This window comes from Homo sapiens, chromosome 6 (assembly GCF_000001405.40).
Source record: "Homo sapiens chromosome 6, GRCh38.p14 Primary Assembly".
In the NCBI taxonomy this organism is placed as follows: Eukaryota; Metazoa; Chordata; class Mammalia; order Primates; family Hominidae; genus Homo; species Homo sapiens.
The window spans coordinates 142,333,488-142,351,012 of NC_000006.12; the positions used below are offsets into that span (position 1 = coordinate 142,333,488).

A 17,525-nucleotide genomic window follows, 5' to 3' on the forward strand; every position below is an offset into this window, starting at 1 on the left:
GGAGATGTAATCTCACTTTCATCACTTAAAAAAGTTTTTTTTAGTAGATATAAGGTCTCACTGTGTTGCCCACGCTAGGCTTCAACTACTGGGCTCAAGCAATCCTCCTGCCTTGGCCACCAAAAATGCTGGGATTACAGGCATGAGTCATCATGCCCGGCCACCTTCATCACTTTTGAGCTTCAAGGTCTGAGAATCTGGAAATATTACTTAGGGTTCTTATCTTTTCAAGATGAGATCAATAATACCTACTTCACACTCTGGTGAGGCTGAAACAATACAATAGATATCCATGTCCCTGGTACATTGTAATTTATTATTATTGAGAGATGAGGAAATTGAATCACAGAGAAGTTAATGGATTTGTCCATCATCACATTAGCACTAAGTGGCAGGGAAGGACTTTAATTCCGGCCTTCTGTCTCTAATCCTATGGCTTGTCCACACTGTCATTGCTCTTAATTCAAATATATTTTGGTGAATAAAATCTTTTACCAGGGATGGTATGTGGTGTAAATTACCACTGATAAATGATATCAGATTTTTGTCTGAAGGAAGAAAGTCGGTTTTCCAACAAATGAATGGATATGGCATCTGTTTTATGATAGTTTCAGGATGTTTCCAAGGTTTACCCCAAGATATGAATGTTCAACTTGAAATTCTAGAAATATGATCATTAATGGAAATACAAAGTTCTTAGACAAAAGATGGAAGAAATAATTCAGGAAGGAAGCTAAGAAGAATAACATTTCACATAAAAAGCAGGGAATCAAAAACAGTGTTTGGCTAAAGGAAAAAGGTGGTAAAGACAAGAGAAGGAAAAACAAAACTACTCCACATTGCCAGATATATTACACTTGTTAACACTAGGGAATCCAGGCTATCTATACCATCCTATGCCCCCTAAAACCATGAAGTGAATTTGCAAACATTAACAGATTATAGAAGTGCTGTTACCTAACTCTCCACACGTAGCAGAAGCCCAAGTGCCTGTAGAGTTAGAGCTGGGAGTTATGAGGAAAAGCTACAGGAAGTATGTCTTGGCCCAGAATAAGGAAGAACTTTCTGACAATAAGATGTGCCAACAGTGGAATGGCTTTTTCCCCAAAGTAATGAGCTTCCTGTCACTGGAGAGTCAGGTAGCTGCTAGAAGATTGGCAGGGTTGCAATCAAGGGTCTCTAGCATGAGGTCAGAGTTTGAATCGGGTGAACCTGAAGGTCCCTTACCAAGATTTTGTGATTCTATGACTGTTTTGGTTACACCTTTTTTCTCTTTCATACTCAGTTTTACTGTGTTTCATAAGTATCTTTTAATAAACAGAGGGCAGTACTTAGGCTTATGAAATAAGATGAACTGTGGCAATCCTTTTAAAACAGTAATCAAATGAAATTCAAAATAATATGTTAGAGGGAAATAAACAAAATATAAGATTTTTTGAAAGCCATATTGTTTAAAACCTGTGGGAGTGATTATAAATCTTAATAGAATGAATAAAGGTGATTGGCACTGGACAAAAGCATGTCTAGAAAGAGTTTATTGTTGCATTTAGCAGCATTCTGACAGGAAAGGGCTTACACAGAGTGCAGTAGTAAGAAAGCAAAAGACGTGTTTAAAGAGCTACAGGCAAATATTCTTGTTTATTACAGGTGATCGGAGGATAGTATTGAGAACCAAGAGATCAGAAATAGTGTTAAGTCATGGGGAACCTTGAATTTCAGGTTTAGATGTTTGGTTTTTGGTGGACACCTGATTTCTTTTGATGGTTTTGTTGTTTTTGAAATAGAGATGGACATGATGTGAACTTTTTATTACACAATTATTGATCTTGGTAGTGGTGGGGAAGGAGTTTTTAAAAAGGAGGATTGGAAGGGAAGTAGAAAAAGTTAGGTGAGAAAATCGAAGGCCAGAATATAAATAGAGAATGAAAATGGAGAACAGGGGAGCACAAGAAAGCCTTTTACAGTTAGAAGTAGTGAGGATTCAGTTCCTGGGAGGACAGAGCTGCCTTTCATTGCAATGGAAATACGTGGAGAGAAAAGCTTTGGAGGGCATCAGTGGGAAAGGAGGTTGTCTTGTCCACTGGTGTCCCACACTGCAGAAGTGGTGCATGGAACAGAGGTCAGGAGTTGAGATCCCGATTTGGAAGTTATTTACACAGAGGATGAATCTGCAATCATGAAGTCTGATGAAATTCCAATAGGAAAACCATAGGGGGTGGGGTGGGAGAGAAAAGAGATCTCTGAGCTGAACTATAGACAGCAGCAAAATTTAGGGAAAAAGGAGAAAAAAGTAATCAGAGAAGAAGGTGTTATAGACTACTTAATGATGTAAGAAGAAAAACCAAGAGAATATTTCTTGGAATCTGAGAAAAGAAAATTTCAAGAGAATGTAATCAGGGATCCTTTGGGAGCCCCTGTAGTAAGAAGTAAGAAAAAAATGTGAGATGGAAGTTTCCATGGGGGATGTGAACCATCCCTTCAAGAGGTTTGGAACTGGGGTGGCCATATAATTTTGTAAATGTGAAAGAACAAACAGTAAAATTACATTAGTCAAAGTTTTGCTTGTTACTCAAAGCAACTTTTTATGATCTCTTTTTTCCCCTTCTGCATGATAGCAGTGCCTCTCTGTGTGCAGGTCTATGTGCAGGTCTTCCATGCAGCAGGCAGCTCAGACTTCTCTCAAGGATAAAGGCTTTATGTGGGATAAATTTGTAATTTTGATTCAAACTCCAGTGGAAGACAGTGATTGTTGCTATTTTTCTTCCTTAGGGAGAAGTAGACAATCAGGGCATGCTAACATGGAACTTTCAGTTCTCTCTGAAATACTGTTATGTGTGCAGTAACCTTTTTCTAAGATTGATTTTTGTTTAGTAATTCAGAAAGGGCAAATTCCCTGGTCACAATTAGTTTCATCATACATACAGATAACACCATAATTTTGGAGTACTTAAAGGTTTGCTTGTTTGTGGTTTGCTCTCTGGGGTTGTGTCTGGGGTTGAAAATAAATAACCACAGCCCTTGGTTCAAATAGCTTATCTGTTACATGGTAGCAGCTACAAAACATGCTACTGATAATCAAATATAGCAATTCTACTAAAATAAATGTAACATCCACCATATGTATATTGAGGCATGTTCTAAGGAACTGTGTACTATGTTAGCATTATATGTATTTATATGTAGACACATACATAGATATATTTGTACATAGATAACACACACATGCATATTTATTACCTTCTTTTATGACACCCTCCTTAGAGGGGTGGTATTATTGTCACTATGCAGATGAGCAAACTGAGTTTGTGAGAGATCTTATAAGTACTCGATCTCAGATGGATATAAGAACTGAAGTGAGAAATGGCCCTGGGGCAATCTGTTTTCGAACCTGATATTCTTTTTCTCTGCATCATGCTGTACTACCTAGGATATGGAGGTGTTGTTACTGCCAAAGGACTTTGATATTGAGGTGTGCAAGTGAGAGAGCTAAAGTGTGGATGGTTTTGCCTCAGCTGGGCAGACTGGCACCAGGTCTGCGTCTACCAGGGCAGTGTCCCTTCCACCACTAGGTGCTTCAACAGGGGCAGTTTTTTCTCTTTTGGAATAAATTTCACAGGTACTCCATCTAATTTTTACCTTTAAAACTTCTTGCCATTAGCATCCTTTAAAATAATATGCTGGTATTTTATTATACTGTTATGTGTCTTCAAGCATTTCATGTAATCTGGTATTCTTTGTAAGTTTAGAACTGTGGATTACCAGATAAAGCCTGCCATTAAGGGTGAACAAAGAGTTTCCACCTATTGGAAGCAGTCAAATAGCATCACAGTTTAAGGATAATTTTGTACTGTCTTTTGGAAGTTGTAATGGAAACAAAATAGAATGTGGTTCAGTTTTAATCATATATGAACTGTTTTAATGAGTGCTGCACTGGGACTCAAGCTATGAAACCAAAACAAACCAGAAAAATGGCAATGGCACGCATGTTTGGGGGAACTTTATCTTTTTCCAGTAGTTCCTCCTTGTGAGGAGAGCTCAAGGCTTGCTTTACTCTCGGAGGGACTCAAGTGATTGGTTATTTGTGGAAAGCAAAATTGGGAATTCTCAACCTGATTCTCCCCTCTTTTGTGGGGCAGCTGCCTACCCAAGGGAGGAGGCATTATGCATTCTAGTGCATTTCTACAGGTTTGTTCCCCAAAGTGGGTTCATGGGTCTGTAAATGTTGGTTGCAGTCAAGTTATGTCAGTAAGCCTGGTTCTCAGGTTCAGTTGCTAAGTCCAGCTCTATTTGGAATAACAATAATATTTTAACCTTTATATTTACTTTTAGATTTTATTTCTCAGTCTATACTGATCTTGATAGGGAAGAGTGGGCTAACACAGGGGACTCATAGATATATATGAAATAGATATTATCAGTGAATAATTATATCTGATCATTTATATACATCTGACACTGAATTTATATATACTTTTGTTGAAAATAAACAAATGTTCTGACACTAAATCCTTTTTATGCCTTGTATCTTTGTTTTTTTTTTTTTTTTTTTTTGAGACGGAGTCTCGCTCTGTCACCCAGGCTGGAGTGCAGTGGCGCGATCTTGGCTCACTGCAAGCTCTGCCTCCCGGGTTCACGCCATTCTCCTGCCTCAGCCTCCCGAGTAGCTGCGACTACAGGCGCCTGCCACTACGCCCGGCTAACTTTTTGTATTTTTAGTAGAGATGGGGTTTCACCGTGGTCTCGATCTCCTGACCTCGTGATCCGTCCGCCTCGGCCTCCCAAAGTGCTGGGATTACAGGCATGAGCCACCGCGCCCGGCCTATGCCTTGTATCTTTGATAGTGTATTGAAATTAAGGAGACTAAATCTTTGAATTTAATGATATTACAGTTGTTTCTTAAACTATGTTTCGAATATCTAATTTTCTTTGGCTGTAGTTCAATGATTTCTTTTTTATTGAAGGCTCTAAATAAGAGTTTTATTATGTTAAATATTGTATATTTAATTATATTTATTACATATAATTTATTCTTTAAATTTGAGCAATATAGATCATATATTTTGTGCTTAAATAATAGTAGTTAATCGATATATTATTAAATTCGTTTTAGCTATAGAACTCTTAATATGTCTAAATTTATTTTCTTTGATATCATTTTAATACTCAGCACAAATTGTACTGAGGTAATTGCTATTGCATAAATAGTTGTAGTTAACATCATTTGATTTATAATTTTATAATCCTGTAATCTAAAAGAAGTATAATTCTTAATTTCATCTGATATGTAACTGAAACATTTTAATTAAAAATAGTAATGCCTATATGTCTTCTAGTCATTCATTTACCACCATCAAGCCCCTCATCTGCCCCACAAACATACTTGGAAACAACCAAAATGTAAATTGACTTTTCTTTCAATAGCTAACTCATTATTCCAAAAAATTATCAAATTTCCTTACCTACACAAACACACTCCACATTTTATTGGATGTGATTATGCTGTATTAATTCTCTAAATTAATGTAAGAATTCTTCAATCTTTATACTCTTAAAACTTCACATCCAGGATAGTTATTAATTTTTAACCTGTCTCTCACAGTAGTTGTACAAATCTCAGGTGTTAACTTAAATATTTATATACATTAATAGTCATCTTTATGTTTTTGAGTCAGGGATCCTACAGAGAATCTGATGTTAGCTATGCACAAGAATTCATAATCACTTATCACGGGTCAATAAACTGCTTAGAGCAGTTGCAAGAACAAGCCAGGTGGAGAATCCCTTCTCTACTGTCAAATATCCACTGGGGCGTAACAAAAATATGAATGCTTCCAGAAAAGCTGGAGACCAGCAAATAGTAGAAATTGGCATGAAGCACTGAAATTAAAGATTTGATTTAGGAACTATCAAACATGCTTCCATCAGGGCTAATATCAGAGCTTTCTGGAAACCACACTAAAATTTGAACCCTCCTTCCCCTCCCAGATGTCAAGAATGAGTACTGATGCAAACTTTGGCCATTTCTTTTTCATTACTTCTGCTTTGCTTGAGTATCTGGATTTGACATTGTATGTTGTTACTAATATTGTCTTATTTTAAAAAGCATGATCCTTTTGTGGTGTCAAAGCTAGGTTCATGCAGTGCTCTGTTACACTTGGCAATGATGAGCAGGCCTTATTTAAGACTAGCCATGCTCGTAGGATGTTTTGACCTCAAGAATTATTATATGCTTTACTAGAAGCACAGAATACAAAGGACTCTGAAATGACCTTCTTAGCCTTTTAATTGCAACTCTTTTTACTTAATGGCAGATAATTGGTTTTGGATTGCCTTACATCATGGAAACTTCAAAAACCAGATGATTTTTTTTCTTTTATTCTACTGTTTTGCTCTTTAACATAATAGGATAAGTATTTTTTTCTGTGTTCCATTATCATACATGTGTATTGCAGGTGTAGTTGGCATTGGAAATTTTGGCGGCTGATAAACTGGCAAAAAAGCTTTTGAATATTAGATGCAGAAATTAGATAGGGCTAAGCTACCCCATTTAATAAAGTTAACTTCTCTTTTGTCATGTTACTGACAAATGTTGCATATGAACAATAGCTTATATGCACAGTAGAAACCAGGCTCTTTCTCTTGAGAGTAATTCTACATCTGTGGAAAGGGGAACATTAGAAGTGGGAGTTACTTTAACAAGTGTTGCTATGCCGACTTACCAACAACTGCTGCAAGTTATTTTGCAAGAAAGACAAGGTGGAATGCACATGTATTCTCAAGAATAAATGTCCATTTATAGCAATTTTTACATTACCAAATATTTATCAGTTAGCTAATATGTACAAGTCTTGAATAACCTTATTATTCAAGACTTATTATTCAAGGTTATTTGTGGTCATGATTAAACTTATTCAATTCCCAGTCTGTGAATTTAGCTCACTATATAAGGTTGTAATGGTAATAAGGTTACTTGTAAGAATTTAGAAGTGCTCATATGTACACATAGCTATATAAGGTTACAGTGTATGTAATCATAAGTATGCACATATACATTGTGCAAATCCATGTAGCAAAAATTTGGCTGTGCTAAGAAAAAATTCAAAGGAATATATCCTTCAAGAATAAATTGAAGAGATAAAGAGATTTCCATTCTCTGCCTTTTCTGAAGTCCTTTGAATAGTACATTTTTCTGAGAGAGACATTCTTGTCCCCCCACATCATTCCAAGTAGAAGCAGAGAAACCTTTAACTCTTCATCAGTGAAGTTGCTGAGCCTCAATAAGAGGACAGATTTTACAAGCTTAGAACATGTATTTGATGTCTGTGTAGTGTATGTTTCTGACGTTAAGGTGTTTGAGGATACTCTCATAGTTAAATGTGTAGAGTACTGCCCTGTTACATCATTTTCTGTGGTTGTCTTGGACTTCAAATTGCAGGATTTCTTAGGTTGTGGCACTTTTAACTTGCATAGAAAATAATAGTCTCAAAATGCAGGGGTAGGAATTGGTTCAGGAAGCCATGTGGGAAGATGTCTTAATTTTTTTTAATTAAAAGGATTGTCATGTAAGAGTAAGCATCTTGTTAATGGATGTTATGAATGAAAGTGATCTTCAAAATGGAAAATTACATAGCCTAGAGTTGACTTCTGAATTTCAGAGTAATGAATGATGTCTCTAGGGTGTGATGGGGAGCAGTAAATGAAGTCGTTAAGAGAAGAGGTTCTGGAGCTGTACTCCTTGAGTTTGAATCCTGTTCTACCACCTCCAAGCCTTGTGACTTTTGGCAGTTACTTAATTCTTTTTAAGCCTTGGCTTTATTAACTGTTCACTTGGGTTATTAGTAACTTCTGCCTCACTGGGATTCCTAGCATATTGTAAGAATATATATTATATATATACTATATATTATATTATATAATATATTATATAATATAATTATATAATATATATAATTATATATATAGTATATATAGTATATATAATATTATGTAGTATATATACTATATAATATTATATAGTATATATACTACATAATATTATATAGTATATATAGTATATAATATATAGTATATATACTATATAATATTATGTAGTATATATAATATTATATATTATATATACTATATAATATGTAGTATATATAATATATAATATATATAATATATACTATATAGTATATATAATATTACATATATATAAATGGAGACCTCATTGGAGAGCAAGATTCTAATGATAGTTGTGCCACTGAGTAACTATGCAGACTTGGACAAGTTGCACCCCATTTTTACCTCTCCTTCTAAATTGTAAAATTAGACAGTCACTATATGCTGTCTCATTCTGTACCAATTAAAAATTCCATAATTCTATGAGTATTTTACCAATGAATACCAAATTTTTAAAAAAACTTGGATCATTCTGAAACTTGAGTAATTGAAATGCCTCCCAAACTGTTTTATTTTCTGAATGTAAAAAGCAGACCCTTGAGTCAGTCTCATGCCTAGAAGGCTTGCCACTTAGGGTTAGCCTAGAAAACAGTTTTTTGGTGAAGTTTACCTCTTAAAATGCCCATCGTTTCAGCATTAGCAACTGAACTGGCTAGAAGAGCCTGCTGCTGCAAGGATCTGTGTGCATAGAGGGAATAAAATGGAGTGGACAGCAAGCAAGGGAGCGGGATTATTGGAGAGATACAGCAAATGGAAAGAGGCAAGTGTAACTGAATGGAAAAAAAAATTCTCCAGAGAGAGTGGAGAAAATTGTTGAAAGGAAAACATAGGAAACTTTATCTCAGGGATTTATTCCAAGAATTAAATTCCAGAGAAGATGCATTTCCACAATGCTTTCTCAGTCCATACTTAGGCTGTGCTGCAGTGATGATGATTATTCAAAATAAGAAAATTGTAATATCCTGAAGAATCAAACAAAAGTTAAATGATTTTTATTGTTCCATGGAATACAGTATATTCTTTGAAAATGAATTTTAGGAGATAAGATTCCTGCCATTAACTTAAAGATTATGAAAACCCTAATTTCCTGAGCATTCTTATTGATACTTTACCGTCTAAATAAGGCGTTAGAAGTTTTCATAGTTAACTGGTTGTTTCAGTTGTATTTTACCCAGATCAAAATTTGTAAGCCACGAGGCTGACAGTAGCATTCCAATGCTCTCTTGTGAGCTTTTTAAAACTTTGCTAACCTTATAAGATATTTAAAAAATTACCAAAAGTACGTAACAAAGCCAATCACACAGTTGAAAAATGACAGAAATCCATTTCATTTGTAATCATCTGGCATAAATCATTACTTCTGTAGGTAGATATGTATTTAGCTACTTAAAGGAGGAAAACTGATGGAAAATATTTTATTTTTTTATTTTAAAATATATTTTAGTAAGTAAAATGCTAAGAATATAAATGAAATTTTGACCTCTGATTTACTCATGTTATTATTACCTTTGTGTATATTTCAACATGACTTGCAGATATACATGAATGGATTCTTAATATAAAACTGGGTAAAAGTTTTATAAAACTTTTATATATGGTAAAAATTTTTTATAAAAGTTTTATAAAACTACTTATATAGGGTATGTAAATATAAGCTTATAAAAATGTATTATCTGCATTCTCTGCAAAATCAGATATGTGCTTTTGACAAATATATAAAATACATTTCCTGCTTTTCCTGTTTTTTTGTTTAATAATTTTCATGTTACCTAAGTGCCTATGCATTTTTCATATTCATGACAAACTTAAATGGTATTTACTTGGTTAGGACAGAGAGAGTACTTGGAAATAGGAAAATAACCTATCTAAAAAATTCAATAACCAAAGATGACAAAGCATTGGTAAGCAAATAAATAGTAAATTCTACTTTTTACAATAACATGCAGAAAAAAATTACATATATTTTTAATAATAATGAGTAGGGATATCAATATCTTTCACTAAAGACCTTTACTTACTCTTTTAAAAAAACATGTATTTTTCCTCATGATCTTATTTAGTGAAATTGTTCTAAGAAACATAAAAAGATAAACAGTATTTAGAGATACATCTTTTATTAAATCTACATTCAGGTTTTTCTTGAGATAAAATATAGTTTTTACAATTATACATTTTAAATTACATATTTTAACATTAGAACAATATATAGGTAATAGTAATAATTACCATTGCAAAAAAGAGCAAGAGTCAAATTGAAAAATAGATTTAATTTCCAAGAATAGTAACATTAAATCATCCATAATTTTAGATTAACCAAATCCAAATCAAAAGCCAATTGTGCAGTTCAATCACTTATTTCAACATGGTACAAAAAAGTCAAGTGTGTGAATTATCTGGCAGAAGAAAAAAATTCAAAAGTGGGCATTCCTCAATTTGTATTCTCCTGGATTGAAACATTAAGACTTAGAAAACTCCGTAGTATCTAATTTGGTATATTTCATTAGTGCTTGAAGTTCGCAACACTGAATTCCTGTTTCCTAAGCTTATCTAAATGCTAAATGAAATGTATGAAATATCTTTCTGTTGAACAACAGTTACAGTTCCTACTGGATTTTCTTTTGGTTGGAAGACTGAAAGAGTGCTCAGAGAGAAGTCAGAGAGATCCAGTTCACATGCTAATACATGATTTATTATTCTTGATTTATTATTCTGTGAAATGTGAAAAAAAATCCTTCCCTAGATGGTGTCACTGATTGTTTTGTTTCCAAAGTATTAGTGATAAGAAAAATATTATGTGAGCTCAAAATTGTAAAACAAATACATACTTGAGAAAACAATGTCTAACAATGTGATGTTCAATATAAACAAGCTTTTCTTTATGCTATAATTTTGCAGTGAAAAGATTTTTGAAATGCTTTATTAATACAATCTGAGTATTTGACATGAGTTGTAGCACATCACACAGAACTGTTCTAGATCATGTCTACTTTGTTGTAAATGTTCATAAGAAAATATCTAGCCTTAAAGATTGTACAACTTGGCATTTCCTTACAAACACATTTTAAAGAAAACAGTGTGGATGAACATTTAAAGGCTTCTGATTTCTAGGATTTAAGGGAGGGAAATTTCTAAGATCAGGCAATATCATTTTTATAATTATCTGATTAAATGATGTTTTTTCTTAAGAAATCTGATATCAGGTGATACAATAATATGGACTTCTTCCTCCAAAAATTTTTCATAAAATAGCTGGCTTCCTTAAAACTGTAAGGAAAAAGCTTCTGCTTCTATTCTATTTGAGGTAATAATTGGTAGGTAAGAGTTTATGGAAAGGATTTGCAGAAGAGATACACAGACACAGCTTTTAACATTTCTAATATACTGATATTCAGTATGAGTCTACAGTTGTGGCCATCAAGTTGTTTTGTGATAAAGTAGATGACTACAGGGATATTTGAAAAATCTCCTCAGATGTTGGGAATATTAGGAAATAAACTGAGTCTACTGCCACTTCAAATACAGAGTACTTCCAAATACTGAGGCTACAACATAGGATGAGAGGAATGGGACATAAGGAGAATTAGGATTCCAACCAGCCCAATAAAGGTCAGAATTGTGGGTCATTCAATAATTGGACTGTAAAATATTGTTGCCTGTGAAAGTCAAAAGAGATGTGAGGAACATTTATTTTGTATTTTCAAGTTTTACATGACTAAAACATTTTCTACAGAGTGGTAAAAGAGTAAAGAAATATGTGCTACAGATTCACTGATGAATTAATAACGTTTTTCGATACAAACATGTAATTGTCTCTAATCTTTCTTTAGTTTTCAATTAGGAAATAGCCTAGGGGAAAAGTATAAGTAACTTGAAAACATATCGTAATATCTTTGGCAGTCATAGTCAAGGCTGTTCTGCTTATACTTGTTGGCTGATCACTATAAACATTGTCTACATGATGAAAATACTAACCCAAAGTTTGTAAATATAAAATTAAACACTATATTAAACCTCTTAGTTTTTTTGTTTAGAAGTTCTTTTCACATCATGATCAACTGTGTTTGAATTCAAAATAGTCTTTCTGGTTTACATGTCAGTGAAATACATGAATTTTTAGTGGGTGTTTCTGACATGCAAAAGGGAAAGGAACAGAATATCATAAATATTAGGTTCCTTCTCCCCCTAACAGCATGTAGTGAATATACCCTGCAAGATGTTTTTATGATTCATGTAATTTTGTGATCAAATAATTCAGTCAACTAAAAATATATTTTTCCAGTGACAGCATGGCTATTTGTCTGAGGCAAAAGTATAACCAGTTGAAAAGGAAAGTTTTGTTTCCTTTATTACATGGTTAAATTTGACTATTTCAGTAGTCAAACTTTTAACCACTAGCTAGACTTTAATTTGTGGCAAAATTGGTTTCTAGTAATCCATTAAATTAGTTTGTTGTTATACTTTAGATTTGTGTTAACACAAAGAATGTAAAGTTATTTTAAGGAAAAAACATTAGTAGATGACTTCGATTTGCGAGTTTGCATTTTTAAGGGTTGTTTGAGGTCCCTTCCTTATGTTCACTTTAGTAATCTCACTTTAGTTCCTGTGAAGGGAAATCCCTACTGTGTCTTTAGGGATGGGTTAGGATAGTGGGCTGCCTTTAGGAAGGCTAATAAAACCTTCCTGAGACACCTTACTAAAGGTATTCCTCACCTCATGAATTGGTCTAAGCATCAGTCTTGGAGGCTCAGAAGCTTGACTTTGAACCCACTGTAAGAGTAGATCCATCTCTTAAAAATAGATTCGTCCATAATGGTCGAACTAATTTACACTCCCACCAACAATGTAAAAGCATTCCTATTTCTCCACATCCTCTCCAGCATATGTTGTTTCCTAACTTTTTAATGATTGCCATTCTAACTTGCGTGAGATGTTATCTCACTGTAGTTTTGATCTGCATTCTCTAATGACCAGTCATGATGAGCTTTCTTTCATATGTTTTTTGGCAACATAAGTGTCTTCTTTTGAGAAGTATCTGTTCATATCCTTTGCCCACTTTTTGATGGAGTTGTTTGTTTTTTTCTTGTAAATTTTTCTGGGTATATACCCAAAGGATTATAAATCATTCTACTCTAAAGACACATGCACATGTATGTTTATTGCAGTACTATTCACAATAGCAAAGACTTGGAACCAACCCAAATGCCCATCAATGATAGAATGGATAAAGGAAACATGGCACATATACACCATGGAATACTATGCAGTCATAAAAAAGAACGAGTTCATGTCCTTTGCAGGGACATGAATGAAGCTGGAAACCAGCATTCTCAGGAAACTAACACAGGAACAGAAAACCAAACACCACATGCTCTCACTCGTAAGTGGGACTTGAGCAATGAGAACACATGGACATAGGGAGGGGAACATCACACACTGGGGCCTGTTGGGGGGTGGGGGGCTAGGGGAGGGATACTATTAGGAGAAATACCTAATGTAGATGATGGGTTGATGGGTGCGGCAAACAACCATGGCACATACATACCTATGTAACAAACCTGTACCTTCTGCACATGTATCCCAGAACTTTATATGTTTTTTTAAAAAGCCATTTTTTAGTCAAGTAAAAAAAAGATTCATCTAAATTAATATAACATATTTGTTTATTTGTTTATATATGTATGGATGTATATATGAATTCTTAGGGCTAGAGACAGGCACTATAATAGGCTTTGAAGATACAGTAGTAAATAAGTCATTGTCACTGTCCAAGAGGGAACAGATATGTTGAACAAGTGAAAGTTTGCTTATAGTCAGAGCTGATATTCAGTTGTTTTTAGTTGTCTGCCATCCACGTCAGTATCCATTCTGATTGATCAGAGCCCTAAATATTACCATAGTTTTTATATCACTGTATTGGGACTATCTCTCTACTTGGGAAACCAAATTTTAATGTCAATTTGTTGATATATAATGAGAAATATTTCAGAGGAACCGGAAGAGTAGATAGTTCACCTATGTAGAAAACCAAACAATGATCTGAGTGTGAATTAGAAGACTGAGATGAATCCAGTGTTTAATCTCATCAAACCAAATGAGGTTTATGTATCCATCTGATGAGAGTCTTGATCTTCTCAGTGGCACAAGGATTCTGAGTCATTTGCTTGGATTTTTGTAGTTGGCCCAGTACAGTACTTGGGTGGATATTACTATTGAGCTCTTCTTAGACTTTTCTTTTACTATACTTGGTGTATGTCTCTACATTCAGTCTGGTAACAGTCAAGTCTTATTCTTCTCAGATTCTGTTTGTCTAAGATGACTACGTCTTTTTGTCTCAGTGCAAAAGAGTTAACATTTAACACTTTGAAGAACAATCTGATTTCTAAGTTCTTAAGAAATAATTCATCATAGCTTCCAAGGACTAACAAGAGTTTCTATTTGAATAAAGTAGCTAAATATTCTTTTGATTTCTATGTTGGTTATTTTTTATATTCTGGACCAAACTACCATGTTTTTTCTGGCCAACAGATTTAAAATCTAAACATAAAGGTTTATTTTTCATAAATATGTTTTGAATTTGACCTTCACAGGGAACATTTTAAGTATCATAATCAATGAGGTTTCAGGTACCTCTTTACAGAGAGCTACTGTGATTATGTTTTTGTGGTTGGATTTTTCTGAACCCATTAGCTGCATGGTAATGGGGTGGTGGAATTAAGGTTTTGAGAATCATCATACCGCCCGCTTACCAGAAGTCAATAAAAAACAAACATGAATGATAGGTTTATGTTCTAGGACAGTATATTTCTAAAATGGTATTTGTTAATCCCTCCAGAGAATACATCAAAGGGAATATGAAACTCCAACTTTGATCAACTGAGCCTTCTTAAAATTAGACTCAGCATCAAATGTTAAAAGATCAGATGGAAGAGGCAAAATTTAGATATAAGCATGAGATAGGTCATTTATCCAGAGGGAATAATGTGTATATTTATATTGGTAAAAAAAAGGAAAACAAAAATTTTGTTTTCTAATTCCCTACATTATTAAAAAGTATCCCTCCTCTGTTCATTCCTGACATCATTTGGAAATATCTGCTGCTTCAGTGTGAATACAGAGTGGACTTCAGTAACCAACTTCTTCCATGTGCTTCAAAAACATTCATGGATCATGAGCAAAGCAATATTTGAATGTGAGGGGTGGTTTTTTTTTTTTAGATATTTAGACTTCATAGAAAAGAAGGAACTGGTTTACTGAAATTTATGTTAAATCTTAATGGGAATGTAGGAAATTTCATTTATCAGCAATCTACCTTGATTGGTATTCTACAATGAATTAATGAATTTCTATTTGTTTAGGCTTATCTGGAAAGTTCTGCATTCCAAATATGTTAAGAAAACATGGTGATCTTTAAATTAGTCATCTTTGGTTTTTTGAATTGATTGGGATTTGACAAAAATGTAATTATTAATTTCTTTCAATACAAACTTTTTTTTCTTGATCTTATGGGAATACTAGCACAGTTGGGCCTAAAGAGGGTTCTAAAATGAGGGAAGCTAAACTTTGTTTCAAAGTTACAATGCCATCACATTTTAAAGCATTAATGCTGAGATATTAAGTAAGTGATCCAATCTAGTTAGGTGGTGAGTGGAACCAGAGCTTACATCTTTTTCTCACTTCAATACTGTTTTCACTGTATCACTGCAGTTTGAATAGACATTTCTTTATGAGCTTCCTCAGTGCCTCTTGTTTCAATCAAACATAAGACAATGAAATAACCAGATGTTGCAGATAAAGTTCCTGAAACACCAGACTCTGAGATAGAGATTAGAATGCAGGGGGTTGGTCAGGGACTAATCTTGGAGCAACACCTCTGTGGAAAGTGAAGGAAGAATGGGGCAGAGGAAGAAGTTGGCCTGTGGCACAGTCCCAACAGCGGCCTCAGCAGATACTGCAGGCCCCCATGTAGCTGGAATGCCCCACATAGTTGCTTAGACTGGCACAAGGGGACTGGACCTTATCCCCCACTTTGAGCAATCACTGGATGGAAGCTACCTGGGAAGGAGTCATAACTAGGTGAGGTGTCTCTCTTCAGTCCTCCCGTAGTCTGAGGGAAACTCAACAGGGTACTGTCACTGGCTGTTAGTCTCACCAGCTGAGAGAATGAGTACAGTGTCGAAGAGGGACCTGGCCAGTGCTCCACAGCATCTACTACACCATTATTGAATGACTACATGATGTTGGCTATTGCATAAGTCACTCTATGTAGGGTTTCACTAATCCATAGAGTAAACACACACAAAAAAAGGTGCTGATGTCTTCCCTTTTCTAGGAATAAATCATGATTTAGAGAGGTTGAATAACTTGCCCAAGGTTACATAAAAATGGCAAGTCTGTCTGGCTAAAAAGCTCATTTTTTTTCATAAAGCTGCTCTTTAGGTAGCATAAATGGTGGAGGGTGGATTTTCTAAACTCTGTGGTTCCTCAAAATCCTTTGATTGTGGAGAAAATTTAAATATTGTATTCATAAATACTGTTACCACAAGTACTACCAGCACTCGGGATATATTTACCATTGAATGATGATTAAACCAAGTTAGTTAGGATCCCTGACTTTGAAAAGCTTACAGACTTGATTGCATAAGCAAGGTAATTTTTAAAAATGATACACAGAAATCTGAGTTTTTTTCATCGATAATGTAACACCACCCACTTTGTAAAGTGGTTATAAGAATTTATATGTGGAATGATAATAGCACAAAGTTTGAGACATCTTAGGCACTTGAAAATTTACTTTCTGTGTTTATATTCAGTACAAGCATAGAGATATTAGAGAATATTTGCATTTATCATAGTTGGGAAAAAATAATTTTCATTTTGATTTTAATTAGCGGTGTCCTCTTGGGCAAGTCAGTTGGTATCTCTGGCCCTTGGCTTTTACATTTCAAAAATGAAGTGCACAAGGTGGATGAATTATAAGGTTTATACCAGCAGTAATATTCTACTAAATGCTGTTGACAATAGAGATCCAGGTGGTTCAAGATGAAACAACTCATAAACTCAGCAACTGGTACATGATGCACCTGTGTGAGGAAGTTTATAGTACTCTGCTATGGCTTCTTGTCTTTCCTAAAGAAATCCATTTCCTCTTTAATATTTATAATGTGTGCCTTATGCAAAGTATGTGCTGAATAAATATAAAGTGACTAGAGTGAGACAGAGATATTATATGAAATCAGATATAATCTCATCCTCAAGTGGAATTCAGTTTAACTTTTATCATGATCAGTGGGAGGAGGGAGCAAGCAAATTGATCAGTTCTTCTACCATAGGAAAATTCTTGATTATTAAAAAACAATTATCTCTTATGGTCATACTGACCAAAAGCAATTTATATATTCAAAGCTGTTCCGATCAAACTACCAACATCATTTTTTCACAAAATTAGAAAAAACTATTCTAAAATCCATACAGAACCAAATAAGAGTCTGAATCACTAAAGCAATCCTAAGCAAAAAGAGCAAAGTAGGCTGGGCACGGTGGCTCACACCTGTAATCCCAGCACTTTGGGAGGCCAAGGCGGGTGG

General features: G+C 34.4%; 1 protein-coding gene across 16 annotated transcripts in view, besides 1 other annotated feature; it reads left to right on the top strand.

Moving 5' to 3' along the window:
* The window catches only part of ADGRG6 (adhesion G protein-coupled receptor G6), a 144,255-nt gene that overhangs the window by 31,481 nt on the left and 95,249 nt on the right, over positions 1 to 17,525 (top strand). The window lies entirely within an intron of this gene.
* Positions 885 to 1,179: a silencer, noted in NCBI's record as "tiled region #14737; HepG2 Repressive non-DNase unmatched - State 6:EnhF, and K562 Repressive non-DNase unmatched - State 24:Quies". NCBI's record gives its function as "represses a minimal TATA promoter and a strong SV40 promoter by Sharpr-MPRA in HepG2 and K562 cells {active_cell/tissue: HepG2 | K562}" and the evidence as "EXISTENCE:reporter gene assay evidence [ECO:0000049][PMID:27701403]".